This window comes from Homo sapiens, chromosome X (genome assembly GCF_000001405.40).
Source record: "Homo sapiens chromosome X, GRCh38.p14 Primary Assembly".
NCBI classification, from domain to species: domain Eukaryota; kingdom Metazoa; phylum Chordata; class Mammalia; order Primates; family Hominidae; genus Homo; species Homo sapiens.
In genome coordinates, this window is record NC_000023.11 from 33,902,468 (window position 1) to 33,919,522 (window position 17,055).

The 17,055-nt window shown below is 38.1% G+C and overlaps 1 long non-coding RNA gene across 1 annotated transcript in view, besides 1 other annotated feature; it reads left to right on the forward strand.

The window, feature by feature from the left end:
• Positions 1 to 17,055, forward strand: part of LOC105373153 (uncharacterized) — a 350,749-nt gene that overhangs the window by 176,102 nt on the left and 157,592 nt on the right. The gene's annotated exons all lie outside the window — the stretch shown is intronic.
• Positions 5,579 to 6,131: an enhancer, noted in NCBI's record as "OCT4-NANOG hESC enhancer chrX:33926163-33926715 (GRCh37/hg19 assembly coordinates)". NCBI's record gives its function as "activates a minimal SCP1, AML or CMV promoter by ChIP-STARR-seq in naive H9 embryonic stem cells {active_cell/tissue: H9 hESC(naive)}" and the evidence as "EXISTENCE:reporter gene assay evidence [ECO:0000049][PMID:30033119]".

The window sequence follows — 17,055 nt, forward strand, 5'->3', positions numbered from 1 at the left end:
ATACAAACAAAAAATGATGTTATGACACAGCTTCAGGTTAAAAATCAAACAAATTTAGACTAATGCCCATAAGACATAGCGAACAAAATAAAACTTTATGGGTCCAAGGTATGTATAATTAAGTCTTGAGAGAGAGGCATGTAGATGTGTGGCTTTAGAACATGGCAATCCTGTGTTTAAAGCCAGTACATAGAAAATTCAAAAAATATACACTCTTACAGATTTTAAAAGATTACAGAAAATCTAAATTTCAACTGGCAAGCATTGAATACAAATTATAGGAGGCCATGGTTTTGGACTAAACTCCCACATTAGGCACCTACAGACTAGACTAAAAATCAAAATGGGGTCACCCATGCTTAAGTTCCATATCCCCAATCCCAAAGTAAGTTGTTATCTGACCTTTCAAGAAATCAGATGTTTGCAGATGACATCCTATATAGAGAAAATCCCACTGTCTCAGCCCAAAAGCTTCTTAAGCTGATAAACAACTTCAGCAAAGTCTCAGGATACAAAATCAATGTGAAAAAATCGCTAGCATTCCTATACACCAACAACAGGCAAGCTGAGAGCCCAATCATGAACAAACTCCCATTTACAATTGCCACAAAAAGAATAAAATACCTGGGAATACAACTAACAAGGGAAGTGAAAGATCTTTACAAGGAGAACTACAAAACACTGCTCAAATAAATCCGAGGTGACAAAAACAAATGTAAAAACATTCCATGCTCATGGATAGGAAGAATCAATATCATTAAAATGGCCATACTGCCCAAAGCAATTTATAGATTCAATGCTATTCCCACTAAACTACCTTTGACATTCTTCAGAGAACTAGAAAAAACTATTTTAAGATTCATATGGAACCAAAAAAGAGCCAAAATAGCCAAGGCAATCCTAAGCAAAAAGAACAAAGCTGCAAGCATCATCCAAACTGACTTCAAACTATACAGCAGGGCTATAGTAAACAAAACAGCATGATAGTGGTACAAGAACACATAGATCAGTGGAACAGAACAGAGAACCCAGAAATAAGACCACACAACTACAACTATTTGATTGTTGACAAACCTGACAAAAACAAGCAATGGGGAAAGAATTCCCTATTCAATAAATGGTGCTGGGACAACTGGTTAGCCATATGTAGAAAATTGGAACTAGACCCCTACCTTACACTGTATACGAAAAATCAACTCAAGATGGATTAAAGACTAAAATATAAAACCCAAAACTATAAAAACTCTCGAAGAAAACCTAGGCAATATCATTCAGGACATAGGCACGGGCAAAGATATCATGATGAAGATGCCAAAAGCAATTGCAACAAAAGCAACAACTGACAAATGGGATCTAATTAAACTAAAGAGCTTCTGAACAGCAAGGGAACCTATCAACATTGTAAACAAGCAACACACAGAATGGGAAAAAAATTGTGCAAAGTATGCATCTGACAAAGGTTTAATGTCCAGCATCTATATACAATTTAAACAAATATACAAGAAAAAAACCAAACACTCCCATTAAAAAAGTGGGTAAAGAACATGAACAGACACTTTTCAGAAGAAGGCATACGTGTGGCCAACAAGCGTGTGAAGAAAGCTTAACATCAGTGATCATTAGAGAGATGCAAATCAAAACCACAATGAGGTATCATCTCATACCAGTCAGAATGAGATAATAGCCAATTTCCCAAACAGGGCAGTTTAAATCTTCAATTGTCATGATAATAAAATTTCCTCTACTTTAATCCTTACACAAAAAAGGTAGCCTAGTGTAACCTGATGTTACCTAATTTTTTGCGTTGTTATGTCTCCCCTTCCCTGCCTTACAAGAAAAGTAGCTTTAGTAGGACTAATAACACTATGTGTTACTTGTTTCTGCTTTCTTCAACCCTTCTCTGTCTATAAAGTCACTTCTTGTGCTCAACTCATCAGAACACTTATTCTGAAATGTATGGAATGAAGTGTTGCCTGATTCTAGAATTGCTAAAAAAGCCAATTAAGATTTTTAAACTAAATTTGTTGTAATTTTGTCTTGTGACAGAATTGATGACCAATCAAGGGACTTGATAAAGACTTCTGATAGCCCTGAGACCCCTTGAGGAACACACATAAAGGCACCACTAATCCCCTTTGTTGTGGGTGATGGTATTTTTTCTTCCTCATGGGGCCCAGAGAGCCCCAAATGCCTCTCAGGTGTGAGCTCTGCTGTTTTTTGCGTTTGAACCCTCTGATCTTTTTGTAATCATCTAACAGGTTCTTCCTGCCCACTGAACAGACAAAACCAATTCACTGAGACAATGCTATTGCAGTAAGAAAAGAATTTAATTAACATTATGCCAGCCACATGGCAGATGAAGTTATTACTTAAATCAGTCTCCCCGAAGGCTCAGAAGTTAGGGTTTTTGATGAATAATTTGGTGAGCAGGGGGCTAGGAAATGGGTGCTGCTGATTGGTTGGAGATGGAATCATAGGGGTGTGGGAAACAGTCTTCATGCGCTAAGTCTGCCTCTGAGTTGGGGCGGGGGTCGGGGTCGGGGTGCACAGGACCAGTTGAGTCATGAATCACAAGTCTAGTTGGGGTCAGTCTGTTGCCAGAATTCAAAAGTCTTAAAAACATCTCCAAAAGATCAATCTTAGGTTCTAAAATAGTGATGTTATCTATGCAATAGTGAGGGAGTTCTCATGAGATCTGATGGTTTAAAAGTGGCAGTTTTCCCTGCACACTCTCTCTCTCTTCTTCCACCAAGTAAGATGCACCTTGCTTCCCCTTCACCTTATGCCATGATTTTAAGTTTCCTGAGGTGTCCCCAGGCATGTGGAACTGTGAGTCAATTAAAACCCCTTTCTTTATAAATTACCCAGTCTCAGTAATTTTATGGCAGTGTGAGAATGAACTAATACAACAGTCTATTCACTCTCTGTCTGAATTACATTTTTTCCCCTGAAAAGAAATGTTAAACACTCTCCTTATGATAGAACCACACAAAAATTCAGGAGGTAATCCCCAAGTGACTTACCCTCCCTAGAAAAAAACTGAGTTCAAAGCCATAGTTAAAAATTTTCTTAAACTTACAGAAAACCTTCAAAAGTTTTCTAAAGAATTGAGGGCCTTAATTGTAACTTTTCAACCTGAAATACCTGACCTCTGCTAACCATACAACATGTTGGTGAGAACTGGGGAGTTCCAAAAAGGATAAAAAAGGCAGAATAGTGTTCTCCTGAGAATAGTATTAAGGACCCAATTGCAAATGATTTTTTGAAAGCCATTCCCGGCCGGGCACGGTGGCTCATACCTGTAATCCCAGCACTTTGTGAGGCCGAGGCGGGCGGATCACAAGGTCGGGAGTTCGAGACCAGCCTGACCAACATGGCGAAACCCCGTCTCTACTGAAAATACAAAAAAAAAAAATTAGCCAGGCGTGGTGGTGGGCGCCTGTAATTCCAGCTACTCAGGAGGCTGAGGCAGGAGAATTGCTTGAACCCAGGAAGCAGAAGTTGCAGTGAGCCAAGATCGTGCCATTGTACTCCAACCTGTGCAATAAGAGCAAGACTCCATCTCAAAAAAAAAAAAAAAAAAAAAAAGAAAGCCATTCCCAAAGTGTTTCAGCTCCATGGCAATTAACAACTGAGAATGACTTTTAGGCCTGCCCTAGGCCGCTTGTCCAATAAGCAACCCATAAAACAACAGTTTCTAAAGAATTTTTGCCATTTGTGCAAACAACCAGTAAATTGGAAAAGGGACTACCCCAAAGTTTTCAAAGAAAGCCCCTGAAAACAGGCTACTACCCTCTGATAATCTCCGTGATAAACACCAGGACTGAGTGGCCTCCAAGGGAAGCTCCTGCAAGTTTCTATTGGTTATGCTTTGCCCTGCTTGTTAAAGGGCTCAGCCTTGAAGTTGGTAATTTAATGTAAAAATAAGCAACATTAAAGTGACCACTATTAAACTGAATGGTCTCCAAAATACAACTTTCTGACATTTATCTAGCTATTTTGAAACTCTTTGTAGAAGATATTTACACCTATAAAGGCAATCTCCATTTATAAGGGCATTTCACTCTCTGCACCTAAAACACTAGAAACTTTTACAATGGAAAATACATTGGTTTAAAATTTATACAACAAACCTTACCTTTCTTTAAGGTACATTTCCTAGTCGGCTTGTCTTAATTGGGCCTTTATCTACACCTTTCTTTTTTCTGCAACTAATAGTGTTTAGATCTATGTTCTGTAAATTTGACTACATGGTTTCATCCGGGATGTTTGTCTAAAGGAGGGAAACTGTTTGAAAAATGACAAAGAATCTTATTGGAGCTATAAGATGTGCATCTGAAACTGCCTTTGAAAAAATTATAACTGAGGAAATTATGACAGTGAAAGAGATCAGACCTAACCAACTATATCTTGCTTCTAACCTTTAAGCTTTCCTTGTTCATTCCTGGGTGTAGGCAGAACTAACTTTGGAAAGGAATTCAGTTCATAGTTTGAAACAAAATTGATGATAGCCCTTTCCTGAAAAGAGCTCCTTTTGTCTTGGGGACTAGTCTGCCTTCTCAGGACTAACAAATTGGCTACGAGATTAGAAATTACAGTTTAGGGGTAATGCAGCCTCTGGCTCCAAGAGTCTTGTAAAACCTAAGAACAGTGCTTGAGCTATTTTGCAGACCCTGCACTGGATGGATTATCTGACACCACCCAGGTCAGTAATCTGGCTCAACCAGTTCTGCCATCCTACCCAAGAACAGAGGACGGCAAGAAAAACTCACTTCAACCCCCTATGATTCCATCTCCAACCTGACCAATCAGCACTCCCCACTTCCCAAGCCCCTACCTGCCAAATTATCTTTAAAAACTCTGTTACCTAAATGTTCAAGGAGACTGATATGAGGAATAATAAAATTCCTGTCTCCTACACAGCTGGCTCTGTGTGAATTACTCTTTCTCCCTTGCAATTCCCCTGTTTTAATAAATCAGCTCTGTCTCTGCAGCGGGCAAGGTGATTGTGTTGGGCGGTTACACTTCTGCCTGAGTGTCTGTATGTCTACATGTGTTATGTATATGTGATACTTTTCTGCCAAAATGTGTGAGAGAGCTCTAATTAATTTACTTAAAGAAAAAAGTAAGTGCTTAAATAACATGTTTTACCATAAAAAAAGAACCTAACTCAAATGCTTTGGTTCGTGTGACTTGGGTAAAATTTTGGTAAATAAGACTGGAAAAGAGCTGTGTCTTCTGATCAGAAAACAACATATATTTGACTTTAGGAGGTGGTGACTGCCTAACTTTTACATGCTGTAGAAAATGGCTAAGAGGGAAATAGGTTAAGATGATGTAAACCAAAAATAAAATTCTAAGATTCCCCCCAACCTACAGATAGATACCCCCTTTAGTCCAAGGGCATTTGAAAGTAAAATTGAAAATCTAGTTCAGGATCTGACATGCCTCATTATACCCTCTTCTCTTTGGAATTCAGGAACAACTGACCAGCATTAACATTAAAACTGAGATCTTAAGACTGACAAAACAGACTTTTTATAGCAATAAGACACCCAATTCAAGCCTGAATCTAGTATAGCATCACATAACAGAAAGCAAGCCCTGAAAGAAGTATTTTACCCCTAAATATATTTATTTGACATATTTTGAAATGGCCCTGCAAAGCTGTTTCTTGTGAAGAAAACCTACATTCTGTACAGAATCCCCTTTCCTTTCCAGGTCTTTCCTCTGATCCAGGAGAGAATTAATTAAGACTCAGGCAACTTTTTAGGTCTAATTACAGCTCTGAAGACTGCTACCTGGAGGTTTCATTTGCATGATAAAACCTTGGTCTCCAGAAACCCTTATCTTAACCCTTTCTACTGATTCCAGCTCTTTAGATAATATCTCTTTCAACTAATTGCCAATCAGAAAATCTTTGAATCTTCCTATGACCTGGAAGCCCCCAACTCCCTGTTTCTAGTTGTTCTGCCTTTCCAGAATTCTGGGTGAACCAATGTACATCTTACATGTATTGAATGATGTCTTATGTCTCCCTAAAATGTATAAAACCAATCTGTAGCCTAATCACCTTGGGCACGTGTTCTCAGAATCTCCTGGGGCTGTGTTTTGGGCCATTTCTCACTCATATTTGGCTCAGGATAAATCTCTTCAAATATTTTACAGAGTTTGAGTCTTTTTTAATCAACAATAATGGCTAGTTTTGTTTCACGTCTCATAAAATTTGCCAAAAGAGTTCTAACATAATTGTTAAAAATCAGTATATTAGGTAAGTATCAATGGCATAAACATTCATAAATTCTTCATAATTTAAAAGCAATTTTTTTTTGATAATGTAAACTCCAAATATCTGAGACAGGTCCCAGTCAATTTAGAAAGTTTATTTTGCCAAGGTTAAGGATGCAATCTCAGGAGGTCCTGACAGCATGCGCCCAAGGTCGTAGGGGCACAGCTTGGTTTTATACATTTAGGGAGACATGAGACATCAATATATGTAAGAGGAACATTGGTTCAGTCTGGAAAGGTGGAACAACTGGAAGCAAAGGCAAAGGCGGGACAACTTGAAGTGGGGAGGGTGCTTCCAGATCACAGGTAGATAAGAGAAAAAGGGTTGCATTCTTTTGAGGTTCTAATTAGTCTTTCCAAAGGAGGCAGACAGGTACGCATTTATCTCAGTGAGCAGAGGGATGACTTTGAATAGAATGGAAGGCAGGTTTGCCCTAAGCAGTTCCCAGCTTGACTTCTCCCTTTAGCTCAGTAATTTTGGGTCCCAAGATTTGTTTTTCTTTCACAGTACCATGAAACGTTAAAGTGAAATTGAGTAATAGGTACTCATTAAATGTCTGGGTCATTTTCTAAAAAAGTTAAAATACGAAAACATTTTGATTAAGCCTAAGTGTAAAGTTTATATACTTTGGCATTTTGTTTTTATATGGTATAGAGCAGCTAAATATTTGAGTCTATAAGTAAAGATTTTTTTAAAAATTGTTCTGTGAGGAAGTGCATGTTTCTAAATATTGTAAAATATGCATTTAAAAAATGTTGGTTTGATAGAGTTCAAAATTGCTTATTTCCTAGGTTGTCACAAAAAATTAAAGTTACTGAGAGTTAAGAATTCTAACTATATGTGTAATTAAAACTACTAGAAGTAGGGGGAAAATTCTGTATGCAAAGTATAGAAGGAAAGTAAGATGTGTTTTTGCTGAGAAAAATTGTAAAAAATAGAAGGATATATTTTTGTTTAGAAAGAGCATTTTTTTAATTCAGAGATTATTACAGATTGTTCCAAAATACAGAATTGGGAAGGAAATAGAAACAAGGCAGGAAGGTACTAGTTAGTAGGAGAGATGTGAAAAGAAGTTATAAGTATGAGGAGGCATTATTGGTAAAGAGGGATGAAAAGTGAGAGTAATATTTACTTTTGTATGAGAGAAAACTTTGCATGGTTAAAATGATGAGGAAGAAGGGAAAATAGGTGTTTGTCCTAATATGCCAGGCCAGGTCTCCATTAGCAACCAGAGCCGTCAGCCTTTACCAGCACCTTAGTGTCACTCTGATGAATGTATAAGTTAAACATTAAAGAACTGGAGAAACTGGTGCCTTAGTACAGAGGCTAGAATGTAAAAACAAGTCCATTAAGATACTGTCTGGGCTTTCTCAGACCTTAGAATTTAATTAAAATAATGGAGACATACTTGCACACCATGTACCAGGACCCACTTTAGATTAAGTAATTTTTCCAAGTCTCTGAAGTAATTGTCCAGACCCTGGACCCTAGTTAAAGATGAGATAGAGTGAAACACTTTGGCTTTCGGCTTGTAGGTGCACTGAATGTATATAAGCACTAGGAAAAACTTGTAACTTTGAGTTGGTCTGGTGGGTTACTCCAACCTCCTCCCTGTAACCAGCTACAGAAATGAACTCCCTTCTTTCCCAGTCTGTCTGCATCTTGTTATTGAACCGTGAGAGCAAGCAGCCGGACCTTGTTCTGTCCAGGAACAAATCTAGCAAGCCAGACAGGAGGGAGCTGCCCTCAGTGGCCAGCCTCTTGCAACGAGATGGTCACTGGGAAACTCCCAGCACCTGCCAGGTACAGTTTGTCCTGAGCTTACCTGATGCAAAGACTGCCCATCCTTCTATTGCTGGGTAAGGGCAGAGGTTAGGAGCAAACATGCTTGAAGGATCATTCAAACTGGATTGTAAGTGGATTGTAAGCCAGAAGACTATTATTTCCTCTATTTGGGCTCACGTAGCCATTTGTTTTGGTACCATTGAGAAAGCAATATGACTTGTTTGTGTAACTGCTTTGCATTTGTTTGAGGATTCATTTGCATTTGTTTGTGAAAATTTGTTCTGTTTGTCTGATATTTGTTAAGTTTAGAGTACTCACTATGGGCAACACTGCATCTATTCCTACAAATAGTCCTCTGGGGAGAATTTTGTCAGATTGGAAGCACTTTGGTTATCCACCCATGACTAAAAAAATAATCTATTGTAGCAGAGCTTGGTCAATGTATGTTTTGGGGTCTGTGAAATGGTGGCCAGTTTTGGATCTCTAAATTTTCATACCCTCTATCAATTAGAATTGTTCTGCCAGAGGTCAGGAAAATGAGGCAAAATACATTATGTCCAGGCATTTATGTTACTGCTTAATAAGGATGGTAAAGAAAATGGAAATAAGCTAATGGTGCAGTACACTGCTAAAGTCTGTCCCGACTCCCAAGGGGAGAGAGAAAAAACCTCTGAAATCCAACAGTTAATGAACACTCTAAACCCCATAGTGGCTGCCCTCCCATCTCAGGAAAGAGAAGGAATGTCACTGCCAGAGTACAGGGAAGTAGCAGAGCTACTGTCTTCTTCTCGGACTAACCAAGGTACTAATTTTGGCTGGGGAGTCACCGAGTCCAAAGCAGGGCTATTCCCACTACGATAATACCCAGTAGGAGTCAATCAGCAAGGAGTTCCAGCCAGATGTTATTGGGCCTATAATACCACTATATTTGCTACACAATGTCCCACCTAAGATGTGCAGGCTCTCCTAAACATTAAGGTATCTGGTTTTAAATAAAGCAAAGGAAGAGGCGCAACATCTTCATAATGAAAATCCAAATGACACTCCAGATCCTGACAGGGCGATTCACCACATGGACCCAAATTGGGATATTGTAGAGGACGTACATCGCAGTGTAACTAACATGTATACTAAGTTCCCTTATTTTCCTGGAGATCATAAAGGGTTTATACTATTGGATTTAAAAGATGCTTTCTTTTGCATTCTCATAGACACAGAAAGTCAATTGTTGTTTAACTTTGAATGGACAGATCTTGAAGCCGCAATGCAGTTTCAATATTGCTGGACTGTACTCCCACCAGGATTTAAAAACTCTCCGACTACATTTGGAAAAGCCTTCGTTTGAAATTTAAGGAGTTTAAGATTGGGAAATGGAATACTGTTACAATATTTGGATAATTTACTAATAGCTACCCCATGTGAATGGGAATATCACAATAATACTATTAAAACTTTGGACCATCTAGCAACCTGTGGGTATAAGGTTTCAAGTAAAAAGGCTCAAATATGCCAACAAACTGTGCAATACTTAAGTTTTTTCTTACAGAAGGGAACCAGAGCTCTAACAATGGAAAGGTAAAATACAATCACTTCCATTGCAGCACCCACTACCAGAAGGTTGCTGAGAGGATTTCTAGATGTGGCAGGGTTTTGTCTATTGGATATGGATTCCTAACCATGGACTACTGGTAAAGCCACTGTTTGAACTGTTTAAAGGAGCTAACAATAACATCTTTGACTGGGAGCAAAACACCAGCATGCATTCAAACAACTGAAACATAAGTTAACCCCCACCCTAGCCCTGGGGCTCCCAAATCCTCATAAGCCATTTCAACTGTGTATGCATGAGAGACTGGGTCTAGTGCTCGGGGTCCTTATGCAGAAGTTAGGAGAAATAAGACAGCTGGTGGCCTACTTTTCTAAACAGCTGGACACAGTGGCTACAGGCTGGCCCCCCTGTCTGAGAGCACTTGCCACCAACTGCCTATTATTAAAGCAGGCTGAAAAGCTAACCTTGAGAAAGCCTATTACAATCTACATGCCTCATCAGGTACTAGTGCTACTTTAGCAAAAGAGAGGCTATTGACTGACAGCTGATGGGTTAGGCAAATACCAGGGCAGACTCTTAGATGACCCCACTATGAAATTACAAACCACCAGAGCTCTAAACCCAGCTACATTACTACATCCTACCAAGGAATCAGAGGACCCCATGCGTAATTGTTTGGAAATCATTATCAAGTGTTTTCCAGCTGCCCTGATTTAAAGGATACGGACTTGCTGCATGCAGACTGGATATTGTTTGTGGATGGGAACAGCCTGGTAGCCAATGGGAAAAGAAATGCTGCATATGCCATGGCAACCTTTTCAGAGGTAATAGAAGCAAAGATTGTACCAATGGGAACCTCTGCACAGAAGGCAGAACTGATTATCCTTGTGAGAGACTTGCAGTTGTCCCAAGTATACAAGGCACATGGAATAAATTGGAGACTACAGTCAGCATGGAGACCACAATCTTCTGGACAGACTAAAAGTATAAATCAAACACTAAAAACAATTATTGCCAAACTGCGCCAGGAAATTCAACCAAGATAGGCTCAGGTAGTTGGCATTGCACTGCTCCAGGTAAAAGTGACCCTCAGAAGTAGGAGTAAGTTAAGTCCCTATGAAATTATATATTACGAGAACCTTTGCCGCTAATCTGTCTCTGGTTACTAGGGTGGTCCTTAATAGAAAGTCAACTATTAAGCAGGATGTTGCTCATTTGGGACAAATTCTTAACATTTTGCATAAGCTTGCTTCCATCTGGAGCATTGTCTGGTGATCAAGTACTGCTAAAGAATGGAGGGCCCAACTCAACAACTACAGGAGAAATGGGAAGGACCCTACAACGTGTTGCTGACCACCAATTCGGCACTGAAACTGGTGGGCATCAAGCCACCACATATGGGTAAAGAAGTTTCTACTAGATGAAACATCCATGACAGAGGACACCAAGGCCCCCAAATGGGAGTTGGAACCCATGGAAGGCCTAAGGTTTCTGTTCAAAAGATGATAAGCTATTCTTTTATAATATTTTTCTTCACTGTTCCTCTTGTTGTTTCTGCTTACACCTCTAACCTTTTCCTATAATGGGCACAAGAATATGCAGATAGCCTACAGCAAGACTCTTGCTGGATCTATTACCCCTCTCTAGTACCACAGGACTGCTTTGGTGGGTCTCCCCCCATACAAGGAAAATTGGGTTACTTCCTAGAAAATCATAAAAAATGGGCAGGGTCGCAGGTGAGGGGGATAACTAGAAAAAAAGTATTTCTGAATGGCCTATAAATAAAACTTTAAATAATCCAGGGCACAGGTTCCTTCTTGAGCTATAGGTAAAACTGAATGTTGTATGTATATTCCCAATAACTCAGAAAACATTTATTTAGCTTTAAAGAATATGAACCAACAGATTGAAGCCCTCTATAGCTCTGCACTGTCTCTCAATAAATTAATAGCATCTTGGTTGGGTGAAGGACCTTCTTGGTGGCAGAAAATTCTGGTTGTCCTAGCCACCCTCTTGGGCATAGGCATAGGCATAACACCATGTTGTGGACTATATTGTTGTTGTACGCTGTTCCAAAACATTCCCTGAGCTCATAAAATCATGTTTCAACAGGCACTGGCTTTGAGTCCCCGAAACCAAGAACACTACCAATGGCAAGTAGATATTTAACACTCCAATGTCTCTTGACGATGACCCTCTTCAGTAGGAAGTAGCCAGAGAGAATAAGTCATCCACCTGCCCTTACTGCTATTATATTATAGCTTATACTCTGTACTAACCCATAATAGATTAATGCTTGAAACTAACATGATGGAAATCATGCACAAATTGACAGTGATGATTGTGGCAGGCCGGGTCTCCATCAGCAACCAGAGCCGCCAGCCTTTACTGACACCTTACTGTAACTCTGATGAATGTATAAGTTAAACATTAAAGAAATGGAGAAACTGGTGCATTAGTACAAAGGCTAGGATATAAAAACAAGCCCGTTAAGACCCCACCTGGGCTTTCTCAGACCTTTGAGTTTAATTAAAATAATGGAGGCATTCTTGCACACTTTGTACCAGGACCCACTTTAAGTAATTTTTCCAAATCTCTGAAGTAATTGTCTAAACAGACCCCAGACTCCAGATGAAGATTACACAGAGTGAAACACTTTGGCTTTCAGCTTGTAGGTGCACTGAATGTATATAAACCATAGGAAAAACTTGTAATTTTGAGTTGGTATGGTGAGTTACTCCAACCTTCTCCCTGTAACTGGTTGCAGAAATGAACTCCCTTCTTTCCCAGTCTGTCTGCATCTCGTTATTGGACTTCAAGAATAAGCAGTCAGACCCCATTCTGTCTGGGAACAATAAGGTAGAATGCCAAGATGTTTTTTATAAAAGAAGTATAAGACAAAACCGAACGTTTAAGCAAGTTGTAGAAGATTTGTGGAAGATAAATGTCATGAAAGAAATTTTATGTGTGATCAAGATGGGTAAAATGAGAAGGGAATTATTTATGTTTCTTTCTAGAAATTGAATGTTAATATCAAAATACACTAATGCAAGGATAAAGTTTGAGCCCATGTGTTGGAACAACAGAATTTTTTCAGAGCATTGAAACGCTCTTTAAGAGGAAATTTTGAGAGGTCTATTTTTACTTTTTAGATAACTGGCCTAGGAGGCAGAGATTCTATTTTTTAAGATAATTTATTGTGCTTTGTGGCTTTAAATATTTTAGCAGTTTGGTTTGATTTCCTAGTGACCTATGATCCTATTTTGATCAAATGTTTTAAATCTTTGATATTTGACAAACTTCTCAAAAATCAATGTTAAATCATTTTAATCTCCAAGCAAAGTTGGGACATTCCAGTGATACCTGGAATTTCTCCAAGGATCTGTAAAAGAGAGATATTAAACCTGTTGATTTAATGTGATACGTTAAATTACATGGGAAGCATTGACAAAATAAAAAATGATGTTTAAGCTTCTACAAGTTATATTAATATAAATATGTTATTAATATGTGTTCTAAAACTGTATAAAGTTCCTAGAAATCTAATATAACTTGGTAGAGATGCTATTAGTCATAATTTTGCTTTAGAAATAACAAAATGTCTTGGCAATTGTGTTATTATTATAATGAACTCTCATCAGGTTTTTAGCCATGTCCATTGTAATTCTTGATGTCTACTGTGAATTCCTTTATTCTTATGCTTTTCTGAAAGCTTCTTGCAAGCAATTATAATCCTGAAGTTTTCTGTCTTTAAGCAGCTTCATGGAAAGAATAAAAAAACCTCTGAAAAGTACAAGTTTCTAATAAGTTTACTTGAATTTTCAAAATTCTAATGAAGAAACTGATGGGTTTGTTAAACTGCTAAACAAGAACAGAGCTAGAATTAATTACATGAGACAATAAACTGATGACCAAAAAATGGGCTTTTAAGGCTTCATTTCAAACCTTGCTGGTTCTGTTAGTGTTTTCTTTTCAAGATTTAAGAAGCTGTTTCCTTTAATCTCTCTATAGCTTACAAAAATTTGGAAAAACATACTTTTCTAAACAAAAATTGAAACATTTTCTTTTCCTCTCTCCTTGGTCTCTTCAGAATTCAGAAAGTATTTGTGAGTATTCTTATTTTTATGGCAATATGATTATTTGTATAAGTTCAATACAAAATATGTTTTTTTATAACAAGATACTCTTGAAAACATTGTTATATTGCCAAGGCTTTGACTGGAACGTTATATTTGAAAATTTCCCATTTGAGAATGCCTGGCTTCAAAAATTTCTGGCCTTAGAGTGAGTGGGCAAAAGTTTTCACTTCCTGGAAGGCTCAGAAACATCAAGACATTAGATACAGAATGAAACATTGAATGTCTGCCTTGGTTTGGCTTATTAGCATTGAGAGATTTTTAAAAGTTCAATCTGAAATTCCTTGTCAAAACTTCCAGCATGGCAAATTTTAAAGGGATGTATTTAATTATTCTTGCCACATAAATACATAAATAATCAGGCTAAATTTGACACTAAATTTATTTTGCAACCACTTTCGTCTTACTATGATCATCTTTGGTAGAAATGGGAGTCACTATAGAGATAAAAATTATTTTCCAAAAGAAAACTCAGTACACCTGTTATTAGATTGCAGTGCTGTTCATTGTTTTTTAGTTTTTCCTGTCTACTTATAGGTAACTGGATTCTAAATTCTAAATTCTTCTACTTTTCTCTAATATATGGCTACAACTTTCCAATGAAGAATGAAAACTGCTCAGTTACTGAAGCCCTATAAGCCAAAATTGGACAAATTTTATGTAAATTACAAGGAACAAGTCTCATGCCAGATCTGTGGGTTCCATAGAGTTCACCAGAATATCCTATGCCACAACTGGAGACATTTAAACTTCAAACCAATACAAGAAGTTGCTGACTTCATGCTGTGGACAGCATTTCCAAGACCATCAGAACAAGATTTTCTGTCATGTTGAGACTCTTACCCCTCTTAATATTTCCTTATGCCTGCCTCTTTCACTTGGCAGGAAAATGCTGTAGTTAAAATTTCACATTCAGTAGATTTAGCAAGTAACTTGTACTTCCTGCTTTAATTTAACCCAGTCATGGGATGCTAGATTACCTATTATTTTCATAGAGAGAAATCTATGCAGATGATGACCTTTATTGTCAACATGGATAAATACAGTGGGTATTATAGAGTGGACTACTTGGTTCAAATGTGTAAGCTCCTTGTCTGGTTATTTAATTTTAGTTGGCTTGGTTCACGGGGACGGTGGTTAAGAAGCATACTCCAAACTCTTGTTATTATCTTCCTGGTAGTCATAACAGTAGTCTTCCTGGTGTGCCGTATCCACCTAAAAAGTTTTGAATGTTTCTATATAGCCATCGGTCAAACATCAAATATTCTCTCTCTGGCTATAACAACAAAACTCAAAGAAATGCATAATAATGAGGAGGACACTGTAACCCATAAATGACATGCTAAGACAACAAACACAAAATTATGGTAACCAGGAGTAGCAATGATGTCCTATGGTGATGTCTCACCTAGGTGAGAACCTGGCAGAAAGAAGGGAATTGTAAAATAAAAATTTTAGGAGACCATTATTTTGGACTAAGCTTCTGCACTAGGCCTTAACAGACCAGACTAGAAATGAAAGTAGAGCCACCCGTGCTAAAGTTCTATGTTAACATACCCAAACTAAGTTCTTATGTGACCTTCTGAGAAATCAGGAAAAAAAGAGATAACAGCCAATTTTCCAAACAGGCAAGTTTAAATCTTCACTCAGCATAATGGAGTTCCCTTTGCTTAATCCTTACACAGAAAAGGCACGTGTTGGTGATCAGATGACCCCCAGAAAAACTGCAGATGCGTAAGTGAGATATAAATGATTATTCTTACATTCCACTGAGTTTTGGGTTAGTTTGCTTTATAGCAATATTAAGCTGACTGATAGAAGCATCATTGCTAGACTAAATTTTTATAAATCTGGAGGAATTTAATGGATTTCAAATTGTTGGCCTGTAAAATGAATGAAAAATATGTTCATAGTGGTAGCACATCGTGTGCTGGTATGAAAGGTTACCTAAGTTTTGAGTCAAAAGAGTAGGGTTCCAGAAACAGTATGTTTTTTTATATTGGGCTTTTATAAGTTCTCTCAACTTTTTTTTTTTTTTTTTACCATTTTGATATGTTAGTCTTTCTAATAAAATGATTTGCCTTTTAGTGACAGTATTGCATTTTTGATAAGATAAAGCACAATAACCTGAACTATCTGAAGAAACAAGCATCATAGAGCCATAATTGCTGTGTTAAAAGTTTTCCTAGAATAAACACAAAAAATAATTGAAATACCTATATAATAAGTAATATTAATTACATAGAGTTAATGGACTGGAGGAAAAGAAGCATTATAGTTATTAAACATGATATCTCAAATTGTTTCTGGTAGAAGGTATCCAAGTTACTGGCAGTGAATCTGTACGAGTCTACAGCAACAATTCTTGCCTCCTCAGAAGAAAGAATTTGACTGAGGAGCACAAGGCAGAAAAAGAGACCAAGGCAAATTTCAGAGCAGTAATGAAAGTTTATTTAAAAAGGATTTAGAACAGGAAAGAAAAAAATTATGCTGGGAAGAAAACCAAGTGGGCAACTTGAAGGACAAGCGCAGTGCTGAACCTTGATCCTAGGACTTTATAGGGTGGCCCAACTCTGGCATTTTGTGCCTCTTTCCCATGATTCTTTCCTTAGGCTGGGCTGCCTGCACGTGCAGTGCCCTCCTTATCCTTTGGAAGTGAGCACACACAGTGTATTTAGGAAGTTGTGCACATGCCCATCGGAGACTTTCTTCCCTTTTCCAGGGGAGTGCCACCAGAAGATCATACGCTACCATTTTCTCTCTTTTTCTTTGTCTTTTCTTTCTTTCTTTCTTTCTTTCTTTCTTTCTTTCTTTCTTTCTTTCTTTCTTTCTTTCTTTCTTTCTTTCTTTCCTTTCTTTCTTTCTTTCTTTCTTTCTTTCTTTCTTTCTTTCTTTCTTTCTTTCTTTCTTTTCTTTTCTTTTCTTTTCTTTTCTTTCTTTCTTTTTTTTTGAGACAGAATCTCGCTCTGTTGCCAGGCTGGAGTGCAATGGCGTGATCTTAGCTCACTGCAATCTCTGCCTCCTGGTTTCAAGTGATTCTCCTGCCTCAGCCTCTCAAGTATCTGGGATTACAAGTGTGTGCCATCACACCCAGCTAATTTTTGTATTTTCAGTGGAGACGGGGGGGTCTCACCATGTTGGCCAGGATGGTCTCGATCTCCTGACCTCATGATCTGCGCGCCTCAGCCTCCCAATGTGCTGGGATTACAGGCGCCAGCCACTGCGCCTGGCCCATTTTGTCTCTTAATGCACATGCCCAGGAAGTTGTTTCTCCCTGGAGCCTGCATTCAATTAAC